The 12,975-nt window shown below is 38.3% G+C and overlaps 1 protein-coding gene and 1 long non-coding RNA gene across 6 annotated transcripts in view; one reads left to right on the forward strand and one right to left on the reverse strand.

The window, feature by feature from the left end:
• JAKMIP2-AS1 (JAKMIP2 antisense RNA 1) overlaps positions 1-12,975 on the forward strand; it is a 102,016-nt gene that overhangs the window by 22,291 nt on the left and 66,750 nt on the right. The window contains exon 2 of the long non-coding RNA NR_038902.1: positions 12,076-12,193. This is a non-coding gene — a long non-coding RNA (JAKMIP2 antisense RNA 1). The remainder of the gene's footprint in view (positions 1-12,075; positions 12,194-12,975) is intronic.
• JAKMIP2 (janus kinase and microtubule interacting protein 2) overlaps positions 3,154-12,975 on the reverse strand; it is a 197,291-nt gene continuing 187,469 nt past the window's right edge. For all 5 annotated transcript variants that reach the window (NM_001282282.2, XM_047417951.1, NM_001270934.2 and 2 more), the window contains one exon: positions 3,154-9,402. Coding sequence is in view for 2 of the 5 variants with exons in the window: in XM_047417951.1 (XP_047273907.1) it covers positions 9,382-9,402 (21 nt within the window). In the remaining 3 variants the exon portion in view is untranslated. The remainder of the gene's footprint in view (positions 9,403-12,975) is intronic.

Raw genomic sequence — 12,975 nt, forward strand, 5'->3', positions numbered from 1 at the left:
ATTTGAGGTAATGTAAATTAAAGGCAAAATCAAAGCAAATGAAAGGCAAAACAATAAGGTCGATAAAATAAAAAAGGCTGGGTGCAGTGGCTCACACCTGTAATCCTTGCACTTCGGGAATCTGAGGTGGGAGGATTGCTTGGGCCCAGGAGCTCAAGGTTGCAGTGAGCTATGATTGCATCACTGCACTCCAGCCTGGGCGACAGCAAGTCCTCACTGTAAAAAAAATAAATAGGCCGGGTGCAGTGGCTCATGCCTGTAATCCCAGCACTTTGAGAGGCCGAGGTAGGCAGATCACATGAGGTTGGGAGTTCGAGACCAGCCTGACCAACATGGAGAAACCCCATCTCTACTAAAAATACAAAATTAGCTGGGCATGGTGGCACATGCCTGCAATGGGCTGAGGCAAGAGAATCACTTGAACCCAGGAGGTGGAGGTTGCAGTGAGCCGAGATCATGCCATTGCGCTCCAGCCTGGGCAACAAGAGCGAAACTCCATCTCAAACAAATAAATACATAAATAACAATAAAATAACAAAGAAAATAGAAAAAATTGATTAGATGTCACGATTAAATATAGATATGTTTTTGCATTTGTTGGCAGTCAGGGCAAAATGGGAACATAGTAAATTTTCTCTTATCACAAGGGAAGAAAAATCTGGCTCCTGAGGTGGTTGTTATTTTTTTTGTGTTTTTCTTCTTCTAAATTCTAAAAGAAAGTGTCATGTGGGGCTTCATATAAATGACACAGATGTCATAGCCCTTTTTTTCAATATTTTTATGGTAATTACAGGCACAAATTACCAATGACTATTTGTTATAGAACTTTTTGACCAAAAATTTACTTCATATTTATAAATATGTGTATGCACAAACATGTTTTGGGTTAAAAACAGAATTTTTTTTCTCTAGAGGATTTTCAATGAGGAAAAAAAGCCTTCACTATTTACTTTTGTATTTCATATGTAGCTACAAATTTGCTTAAATAAAATGAGCATTCTTTATCAGCCATTTGGCACAAATCTTAACCCATGGGGTAGGTAGGAATTTGACTATATCTCTGCACTTCTGCGACTGTACCTGTAGATCAGAGGCAGGGCTATGTCATGAGCTGGTGGGAGGAATTCCTTTGTGTGGGTTTTGTATGGGCCTAGTAAATGTTTCCTTGTCTCACTAGCACTGTGGAAGGAAGTGCCTGCCGCCCACTTTAGCATCTCCAAAAAACACTGGGGTAATTTTCTCTGGATCTAGAAGAGGCCAGTTGAGTTGTTGACATAACACATTTGAATTATATACCAAAACTGGAGTTAATCAAAACAGAGCTTTTCTTTTATAAAGTTATACAGGACCCCATAATAACTGCCTGTTTTATGGCATGCTGATACGTAAGGTACCTTTCTCATAGAGACTCAATTGTTGTAAACCATCATCAAATAATGTAAATTGTGATGTCTTGAGAGGTGGGCCTATGTGTTATTCTTCTCTGTGTTTAGAATTTGATATAGCTCCTGGCATATAAGTGCTTCCTATGAATGAGTGACAGAATACAAACTGATGAGTGACTTTTTTTTTTTTTTTTTGCTAATAAAGATGAAGAGGTTACAATTAAAAGAGGAAACCTTCTTGACATGGATCTTATTGAGCCCATTCCAAAATACTAATTTTTCTTTGTTTCTTTGAGACAGGGTCTTGCTCTGTTGCCCAGGCTGGAGTGGAGTGGCATGATCATAGTTCACTGTAACCTTGAACTACTGGGCTCAAGTGATCCTCACCCCTCAGCCTCTCAAGTATCTGGGACTATTGGCACTCACCACCATGCCCGGCTAATTTTTATTATTATTTTTTAGTAGAGACAAGGGTCTTGCTATGTTGCCCAGGCTGGTCTCAAACTCCTGGCCTCAAGTGATCCTCCCGCCTCAGCCTTCCAAAGCACTGTATTACAAGTGTGAGCTACAGTATCCTGCTTAATATTACTTTTGATAGTTCTTTATCTTTTTTGTTTTGAAAGTTGGGGGTCTTGCTCTGTTGTCTAGACTAAAGTGAAGTGATGGGATCACTGTAACCTTAAACTCTTGGCCTCAAGTGATCCTCCTTCCTTAGTCTCCCAGTAGCTCTGACTATAAGCATGTTCCACCATGCCAGGTAATGGCATGTAAAAAATTTTTGTAGACATGGGTTCTTGTCACGTTGCTCAGGCTGATCTTGAACTCCTGGCCTCAAGGATACTCCTGCCTTAGCCTCCCAAACTGCTGGGATTACAGGTGTAAGCCACTGCACCTGGCCTATTTTTAACAGTTCTTCATGGTGACTTACAAAGTTGTACCTCTATTGTGTCATATTGGTTTCTTATTTGGTTCATGGATACAGGGATTGTTTCCCACATGAGACTGTAAGCTCTTTGAGGGTAGATCCACATGTACATAAGACATAGGAATGTGCACATGATCAATGCTCACATAACACACACCTGTTAATTTGCTATATCTAGTGGGTCTACAAGGTAGAAAAAAAGGTAGATGGATAGAGTAGAAGAAGTAATATTCAGAATAAGGATGGAAAATAGCAGGCAAGATTCTCTCCCAAACTATGTTCAGAACAGAGATGCTAATGATGATAGTTTTTTCCTCAGGGGTGTAAATTCTGCTTTGGCCTCCTTATCATAGTGCCCATAGCACACACAGTAACAAATGCAGAATGGGAAGACAAGAATAAATCTATTTACTGTCCTGGATATAGAGTTTATTTCCCTACATTACACTGATAGCCCTGATTTGCCTCACCCTGTTTTTCAAAAGTAGATTAGAGGAAGGGCGCTGTCGCTCATGCCTGTAATTCCCAGCACTTTGGGAAGCCAAGGCTGGTGGATTGCTTGAGCCCAGGAGTTCGAGACCAGTCCGACCAACATGACGAAACCCCATCTCTACTAAAAATACAAAGAAATTACCAGGTGTGGTAGTGCACGCCTGTAGTCTCAGCTACTTGGGAGGCTGAGGCAGAAGAATCACTTCAACCTGGGAGGCGGAGGTTGCAGTGAGCCAGTGAGCCGAGATCGCACCACTGCACTCCAGCCTGTGCAACAGACCAAGACTGTCTTAGAAAAAAACAAGTGGAAGAGTTCATTAAACAAACAGCTATAAACAATGAAAGATAAAGTTTTTAAAAAATGCAGCTTGTTTTATTTTTATATAAACTAAAACACCAGAGTTCATCGATTCCTATATTAAATACATAAATTATAAAATAACCATTCATAAAACTTTACATACAGTAAGTTGATTCCAATCTCTACGGTAATACATACAGTACATGTACATATTCGGTGTACTTCAGAGGATCATTCTGGTGAAACTCAGTCAATTTTTATTTTTCTTTCATTAATAAACAAGCACTGAAGTGATATATGGAGTCATGCTAATGAGATGGAAAGAAAGAACCCCAATTGAGGCAGTTGATTGAATGAAAGCTCTGTGAAATTGGACCCTTGGCTACATTAACACAGTAAACACCTGGGGAATTATGTATTCAAACACATTAGCTCTATACTTGAGTCCCCAAAGTATTGGATCTTGAAGGCTAAAACATGCATGAACCCTGTTGAGATGGAATTTTTAGCTAATAAAGATATGGGACTTTTGGCTAATTTTAATACTGTAGATTGTGCTGAACTTTCTGTTGCTCTTTCAAAAAAAAGAAACATCAACCAACCAACCAAACAAATAAAAAAAACCTATTTGCTGGTTTATGGGCCTGGATAATTGAAAAACCGAGTGGTCTCTGCCTCAGTCAACAATTGGAAATAATAGTAGTGAACAGAAGGTGGGGTAAGGGAGAGAAGAGGTAGTCAAGGATGGGAAGAGTTCAAACACTAAATGCTCGACAAAAACATGAGTTCCCAGCAGAAGCAGCAGCAGCGCAGAAAAAACCTTTCTTGAAGTCCTGCATCCTAGAACAGAAGTACACGTTTAGTAAGCGCTCACACCATCATACTATGTACAGAATATATCTGTGCATATATTTACATCACATATTTATAAAAATGTTTGGATTTTGATCTGCCTCATTGTGGGAAGTTGCTATGGTTAATGGCTGGTATAGGCACAGTCTGTGAGATGTCAGTCAAATAGAAGTGTTGTTACTAACAGATGCTGGGGATCTGTTTTAGTTGGAAAATTGCATCATCCACTCTTTAGTAAGTTCGTGGGATCTTGATTGTGGGCAAAATTGGGCTCAAAGTTGTTTAACTTTACCATTCTCACCCTACAGAACTTTGCATATAACAAGGATGAAAATATAAGCATGGGTACAAAGACCGTAATGCAGAAAAAAACAAAAACAGGAACCCTCACCAAATCAACCACGTGTATCTCTGCCACATTAATTTGAATATAGGAAATTATAATCCTATTTTTGCTACATTGCCCCTATAAGTATATCTTTAGTAGTTTTTTTCCTCTCTCCCTCTTTTCTTTCTTTCTTTTTTTTTTTTTTTTTTGAGATGAGGTCTCACCATGTTGCCCAGGCCGTTATGAAACTCCTGGGCCCAAGCTATCCTGCCACCTTAGCCTTCTGAGTAGCTATCTTTAGGAATTTTGATTAAGCATTGGACTTGGACTCCCAGCAAGAGATTTATTTAGGAAGAACTAAACCGCCAAACTAATGACAGCAAAGGATTGTGAATCTGCCCTGCCCCATTCTGAAATGGAATAATAGAATTTGGCACTTGAAGAGGCCTTACAGGGATTAGCTCCAACTTTCCATTATGTCTGTATCTTCTTGCCAATATGCCTGAAATTAGATCTCAAGATACTACATTATATAGAAATGACAAGGCAGTAGAACACAATGACATCTTTCCTCACTTAAGACCTAGAAGTCTGCTTAAAGAGGGGCTTGGGTCCATATTGGAAGCATAAACTCATGACATAAACAGTCATCTAAGATTTGCTTTGAATGTTTATCATTCAAAAGTTATATTGAATTTTTTCAATGTAATAGATAAATCTAAATTAGTAAAATGATAGAATTAAACTGCCAAAAGCTGTCATTAATTACCAAAACACTGTTATGAAAATTTCACAAAAGGCAACAAGCAATGCAACTCCCAAATTACAGAGCAAATTTCTATTGCTCTGTGTGTGTGTGTGTGTGTGTGTGTGTTTGTGTGTGTATTCTGTGCCACTCTTTGACAGATTGAAATAATGCAATTAAATATTTTAAAAATAAAATTTCTATGCTGTCCATCTATCTTGATGTAATATAACACAGATGATCCAATTATTTAAACATCAACACAAAACCAATGAATATTCTTTTTACAGTTTCTACAAAAACCTAGGCAGGTTAAAAAGACGTGCTTCATTTTGAAACAATGAACTTGTGAATTATGTTAAAGCAAACATAAGAATTACACAATGGGTTTACAGGAAAATTTGACAGTCAATGGGCAAAAAGGAACAAGTTTGCCAGAGATTTATTTAAAATTGAAAGCAAAGTTGAAACAAAATACTGCAGCAAAATTTATTTGGCAAACTTTATTTCTCCTATTACTAGTGGAGAACACATTTGCTCTCTACCTAAGTGATAACCCAGGCCTTCTATATCAGCTCTACCTTATGGACTTGGGAAGACACATACAACCTGTATGAGCAGTTATTTGTGGGCCAAAAAAAAAAAAAAAAATTAAATCAAGATCTATTCTTCCACCCCTAAAACCTAACTGTTGGTAATAATTTAATTTATATAGCATAAGTCAGAAGGGTTGTAATTTTTTTCAGCAAATTCTATTTCCTAAAAGTAGGGTGGCATTAAAGAAAAGTTTGACATTCAATTTAGTAATAGATGCTTTTTAAGTATGATAGTCAAAGATAGTCTCTCTATGTTTTTCCCCTCTTTCATGAAATTTTTCTATCCTGAATAACTATTTAAATTGGGTCTTTTATTTATCTCAAATTATCTTTAGTAGTCAGTTATGTTTATTTTCCAGGGTATGAATATTTTATTGAGAAAAATTAAGTTAATGAACCCGGAAGAATGCTGTTCTGACTGCTACAAACTCAGTAGCCAAATGCATCTCGGTAGTACAGATGCAGAAGTGGGGCCACAGGAAATCTCAGTTATTGATAACTTTTTTTTTTTTTTTTTTGCTATTGCTGAACATCCCATCCAAGGGAAGCATTCATTTAAACACGGTCCATTTCCATGGATCCATGAGTGACTGGAACACATATCCACAATTTTGCTGATGCTTTTATAATTGTGAAAATGGATAATAGAGAGATGTATCTATTGAAATATTTATACTTTATTCAAGGATATATTCATTTTGAGGCTCATGAGCAAGAGTTGGTAAAAATTACAGTTCAGTCTATAGTCTTGAGAAATTTGCTAATCTCCCAGATCTTAAGCAAAAAGAAAAAACAAGCAAACCTTTTGCCTGGCCCTAAACACATCTAAAGCTGCTTGGACAATCATCCTAGCTGTTGTTCTCATATGACTTATAGCAGATAAGCAGATTAGGTATATAAACCATACCACTTTTTCAAAAATTTTCAATCATTTAGAAATAGTTACTCATGGAAATAAATTTTGACTTACAAATTTCTTGGTGGGTGGGAAAGCAAAATTAAGAGAAGGAAGGTGTGTGTTGGAGCAGACGGAATATAGATTTACTCATATGGGCCCTGCAACAGAAAGTGAAGAAAAATGGAAAAGTCTTAGATATGTGAGAGTAATTTATCCTCTTCCATATTTTCTGACTCAAGTTGGCTAGTGTTGGGTCACCAACACTGTAGAGGCACCCTCTTTCACATTTCTTGCCTAATGAGCATATGGCTCATATTTAATCTGGAACCTACCTAGTTGAATAAAGAATCCAGCAGGAGGCCGGGCACAGTGGCTTACACCTGTAATCCTAGCACTTTGGGAGGCTGAGGCAGGCAGATCACTTGAGGTCAGGAGTTCGAGACCAGCCTGACCAGCATAGTGAAACCCTGTCTCTACTAAAAATACAAAAATTAGCCAGGTGTGGTGGTGTGCACCTGTAATCCCAGCTACTAGGGAGGTTGAGGCAGGAGAATCACTTGAATCCAGGAGGTGGAGCTTGCCATGAGCCGAGATTGTGCCAATGCACTCCAGCATGGGCAACAGAGCAAGACTCCATCTCAAAAAAAAAAAAAAAAAAGAATACAGCAGGATAGTCTGTTTTGTATCTTCCCAGTAGGGCATACCACCTGGCTTTCCTCCAGAATAAAAGATAATCAAGCTAATTATGTGATACTGTCAGTTTGCTCCAAGCCTTTGTTTAATGACTGGCTCTCCTGTGGTAAAAGTGGGGTTCTGTATGATGGCATGCATATGCAATCAAGAGAGCTGGGAGATGCTTATCATAGAAATGACACACTCTTCTATCTTGTTCAATAGCATGAGATGATCTATTTCCTATAGATTATTAAAGATCCTGGTTTTGAATCTCTCAATTTTTATTGCTAATAATGTCCCAAGTAGCTTGATAAGCAAGCTTCAGTGCTATAGTGCTTAAATTTAACCAAACTGAAGCACTATTTTATTACATGAGGGAATCTTTTTGTCAACAACACAAGAAAGTCAAATAATACAGCACTTGTAATAATTACAAAGCACATTGTGCTACTTTAAGCACCTCTTGTTCTAAAATTGCAAATAAAACTTTATGAAAAAGCATTTTAACCCCATTTTGCAGATGAGGAAACTGAGGCACAGAGAGGTTAAGTGACTGGGCCAAAGATACCTGGGTCAGCAGTAAATGTAAGAACAAAAAGTGGGACCCCAGCATTCTAGTTTTTATTGTACATTCTTCAGTTATTGTTCTGGCTTTGCAAATGCCAGTGCTAAAACTGAAGGATGATAGTGAACCCACATATGGAAAGATTTGTATAGCATTTCATAGAAAGAGTTTCTGGCTCCCTACACATATTCTCTATGCATGGGAATTCTAGCCCCATAAATAAAACTTCAAAAATTTGAAAAATTGAGGTTGTTCTGTTATCTACAGTAAATGAGGTGTAAAATTAGCTTTTCAGGAACATACATTTGCTCTCAGAGATGACTCCAAGACTCAGTAATACACAACTTAGGAAAAGTACCAGTCCTCTAATTGTCTCTGGTAGAAAATGACCTTGTCAGTAACATAATGTTATTTCCATATAAAAAAGTAGAGCTATCTTGTTGCTGTCATCTGTCTGGGAAAAAATGTTATCACTCTAAACAAGAAGAGGTCAGAATGCTCTAGGCATGTGAGGATTCTTTAAAAAATAATAGTTTAGTTTAATATTCACATCTCTGTGGCAAACCCGACTCTTGGTAGAAATTTACTCATTGATTCTGCTGTGTTTTTGCCCAAATCATATAGCATATTCATTTGCAGGCAATTTTAAGCAGCCATTTGAAAAACAGTATTTTGGAAATGAAAGATTCAGAGATGCTCTCTGGCCCATGTTCCCTATAGATGTTGGCGTTCTAAACAGAACTAAGTCAGGGAGCATGTGATTTACAGTATCATCTTCTTAGTTTTCAATATGAATGAGATCAGTCCATTGTTGATAGAGGAATGCAGATGTGAGAGTAGGACAAGGAAGCATCGAATCTGCTTTTATTTCACATGTCACATTCGCTCGGGTCCTTTGACTTCGTTACCAGTTTTGTTGTGGTCACTGTGATCCACTTCTCATCTGTCGTCTGTGGAATGAATTCCACAAGCTCCACCTTTTGCAGAAAAACAAAACAGAGAGTGTTTTTCTTCCCATTTACGATGCGGATGTCTCTGTTCCTGAGTTTAAAACAATCATAAAGACAGAAAAGCAAATCCCTGTAGTAAGAAACCAGACTTTTCAAATGAAACATTTTATTGTAAATAGCTCTTCATAGGTATTCCTCGTGCTTCACTCCCCACCCACCCTTGTTTTTTTTGTTTGTTTGTTTTGATCTTTTAAAATGATGTTTATTATCAGGACTAGTGTTTCCATGGGGTGTGGTGTTACATTAAAATGACCCCCCTGCACAGCAGGGGTTGAATATTTCATTGTAACTTTGGTTCCATGCCCAAGACACATCTTTGCTTGATCTGCAGAAACTAGTTCCATTGCTGAACTTTTTCTTTACACAATATATGTTTATAGTTCTTCTCTTCTGATTTGACATATACATGTTTCATTAAATGCAGCATATATTGTAGATTTTCAACAGGGTTGTGTAGGAACTGTCAAGTAAGAAACCTTGAATAATGGCTTTAAAATACACAGTTGTAGTCCTGGCTACAGGGTAGTTCTTAGCTTTTGATCTCCCTCTCACTGGTGTAAACAATTTTGCCATCTTTGAAGGTTTAGAAGCACTTGTCTTCCTGGGATCTTATCCATGTTTTCGGTTACTCTGCAAAACAGAGGAAAAAAATTATTTATATATCAATTTTGTTAATAGCTGAATCATAAAAAACAAACTTTAAAAAAAGACACAAATTTTTTATTCTTTACCACTGCTTTGATGTGTATGATCTTATGCAAGTTACATCTCTAAGCTTAGTTACTTTAATTTTAAGGGAGAAAATAGAAGTCTCTATGTCAAAGGTTGTTGCAACACAATGCATATAAAACAATTAATGGTTCTTGTCTCAAAGTAAGTTGCCTGAAATATTATTATCATTACTGCTTTTTCCTCTGAGGCCTTCCAAGGTGATAGCTAAGAAGTTAAATTGAATAATCATGCCCCAACATATCCATTTAAGATGTTATTTTATTTTTGAAACTTATTTTAGATTCAGAAGGTAAATGTGCAGGTTGGTTACATGGATATATTTCATGATGCAGAAGTCTGGGCTTCTATTGAACCCATCACACAAAAGTGAAAATAGTACCCAATAGGTAGTTTTTCAAACACTGCCACTTCTCTACCTCCCCACTTTTGAAGTCTCCAGTATCTACTGTTTCTGCAAGATGTTATTTTAATAGCAGACCTGTCTATTCCCTTCAGTGACTTAATTCTATGTCACATTTCCTCCCCAACAAAATTGTAACCATTGGCAAATTGTCTCCACCTAAAGTCCTGATTGAAGAACTCCCTGGGAATTCTGCCACACAGGTTTCTTGGTTGGCCCAGAGATGTCCCTGAAAAGGTGCTACCCTGGGGATGTGCCAGTCAGGACTCCTAGCCCTGTTCCTCTGTAAGTCCATATGTCTGAGTTTTCACTTGTGTAGAAGTCTAGGTCGTAATGCTGTCTTCCAATGAAAGCCAGAAATAGCACAGAAGATGTGCTATGAGGTTGTGCTATCATGTCCTACTTAAGGGAATGGCCTTTAGGGTCTGAACAACATGGATAGAGAAAATGGGATTTCTATTTTCTTGCTGTATGCCCAAAGCTAATTTATTTAACTTCTCTAAGCCTCAATCTCCTCATCTATAAAATAAGGATACTGATTCTGTAGAAAGACTTTACTATTATTCCAGAAATGTTAAATCCAAAGTTAAATGTTAAAACCACAATCTAAAGTGGAGGAAAAGGAGGCACTTAGTACCCCAAGGATACTTCTAGTCTACCAACCAGGGGCAACTTAAAGATCCAAAGGCATATTTGCAGAGCCATTTTGCTCCCAAGACAAGGTTAGACTGGGATGGAAGAGTGACAGAGTCACAGAGGAGAACCTGTGGGAAGGAAGTACAGTGGTCGGGGAGAGATCACACTGAGGGAATGAGGAGGAGGTACGAAGAGGCGTAAAGATATTGATGGTGGATTCACAGAGGCATACTTGCCTCCTATTGCTCAGACATAGACTTTCTCATCTTCCCTTGCTTATATGTGAGCAGAGAACTGAAGAGTGATGACAGGGCAGAGACAGGCGCTACAGCGTAGTTGTCTCCTTGCTCCACACTCCATCAAAAAGCTACCTCCTTAGCAAAAAGCTGTGGGTTGCACCACCAACGAAGGGAGCCAGTGAGGCAGTGGAAGAGTCTGGGCCTTGGCCAGACTGGGAATAGGGCAGTGGGCATCCCCTGCACACCCTTCTGAAGAATTCACACATATGTTGCCCAGAATGGCCAGCCTTTGGTCACCTCTCATAGAAAAGATATCAAGTGTTGGTCAACAGTAGCCAAAGAAACATCTGCAATCACTGTCAAAGGAGCTGAGAGGGAGAATCCTTTTCCCTCTTCTTCCTCCCTGCTCTCCAGAACGGCTGAGCCTTGAAGAGGAAGAGAAGAGGAAGAGTTCTCGTAGAGTCAGACCCTGAACTACAGCTCCATGGGGGTACTTGGCTCATGCCTAAGGGAGGATAAGGGAAGAAATGAGAATAAAACAGAGTCTGAAATTGAACTTTTAAACTGGCTTAAGACTTTTGAGGATTGAAAGTGACTGAGAAGTTGGGGGACCAACCTAATATTTAATTAAAAGATGAGAGAGGGAAATAAGACAGAGCCTGAGTGAAGAAAGCTATGATTTGAGAAAATAGATTGAGTACATATTTACATTCCACTGGGATGAGAGCCCCAAATAACTAGTTACAAACACAACATTCTCCTATTCCATGGTAAATAAGAGAGTTGATCTGAATGTATATAAAAAATTCTTCAGGGATGTATTTTTGTTTGTGTGTTTTTAAATATAGAATAAATATACAAACACAAAAAGTCTTTTACTTGCAAACTTTCAATGTATAGCATATCAAAGATTAAATCCTATATATTGTGTCAAAGCATGTATGCATCATTTCCACCTATCACAACCGAGGTAAAACCCCTCATTTGAGTAAACACATGTTGGTTTTAAAAACCAATGGACTTACAGGCAGTCCAGGCAGTCTCCTGGAATGTTAAGTTTCTATGAATTGAGAAGTACTTGTAAAAGGAACTATTATTTCTATAGTGAAGCCAGATTTATTCAAATTAGCATTCTGAGTTATTGCAGTTACCCAGTGGGTAACAGGAGTTCTTTTTAACAGGTTGCATAACAGTGCTACAATTTAGTTTCCTCATCTGTGGAAAACAGCAATTGCCACTATCATTTTTGAGACTTTACTGCATGCTACAAATTCTTTTTTTTTCTTTTTGATACAGGGTCTTGCTTTGTTGCTCAGGATGGAGTACAGTGGTGCAATCTTGTCTCACTGCAGCATCGACCTCTGGGGCTTAAGCCATCCTTGCACTTCAGCCTCCCAAGTAGCTGGTACTACAGGTATGTGCCCCCATACCCAGCTAGTTTTTGTACTTTTGTAGAGATGGGATTTCACCATGTTTCCCAGGCTGGTCTTAAACTCCTGGGCTCAAGTGATCCACCTGCCTCAGCCTCTCAAAATGCTGTGATTACAGAGCCACTGTGCCCAGCTAATGCCACAAACTCCAAGTCTTGAGTACGGTGATGTGGCTTCTGACTTGTGGTTGTAGCATCTGTAAGGGCACCACCGTTTAACCAGTTACACCATCTAGGAACACAAGGGCCATCTCTGACACCTTCCACTCCTCACCCTTTATATGCAATTTGTCATAAAGTATTCAATAAATGGTAGCTATTAATATTACCTCCACAATACAGATGAGTACACTGAGACTGAAGATTATTAAATAATTGGTCCATAAAAATCCTGGTAGGGAAGACATAATAATATTGTATGAAATGTAACTGAAGCTGGAGGATCAGGGAAAGCTTCCCTGATTTTCCACTGAGACGGGAAGGATGAATGGGTATCAACCATTTAATGGTGATGTGGGAAATGTGGTCCCAGAAGATGGAAGCACATCTTGAAAGGCATGATTCAAGACAGAATGCTTGGTATGTCTACAGACTTGACCTTTAATGAGCCTTTCTATGTGCCAACTACTAAACTAGTTGCTTTACCTGTATAATATTACTCAATCCTCAGAAAAATAATGGGTGCTATTACTTGCTAATTTTTTATATTAGAAAATTAACGTTTGGAGAGTGCTATATTTTGAATGTTTTTGTCCCCTCCAAAATTC

Source organism: Homo sapiens, chromosome 5, assembly GCF_000001405.40.
Source record: "Homo sapiens chromosome 5, GRCh38.p14 Primary Assembly".
Taxonomy (NCBI): domain Eukaryota; kingdom Metazoa; phylum Chordata; class Mammalia; order Primates; family Hominidae; genus Homo; species Homo sapiens.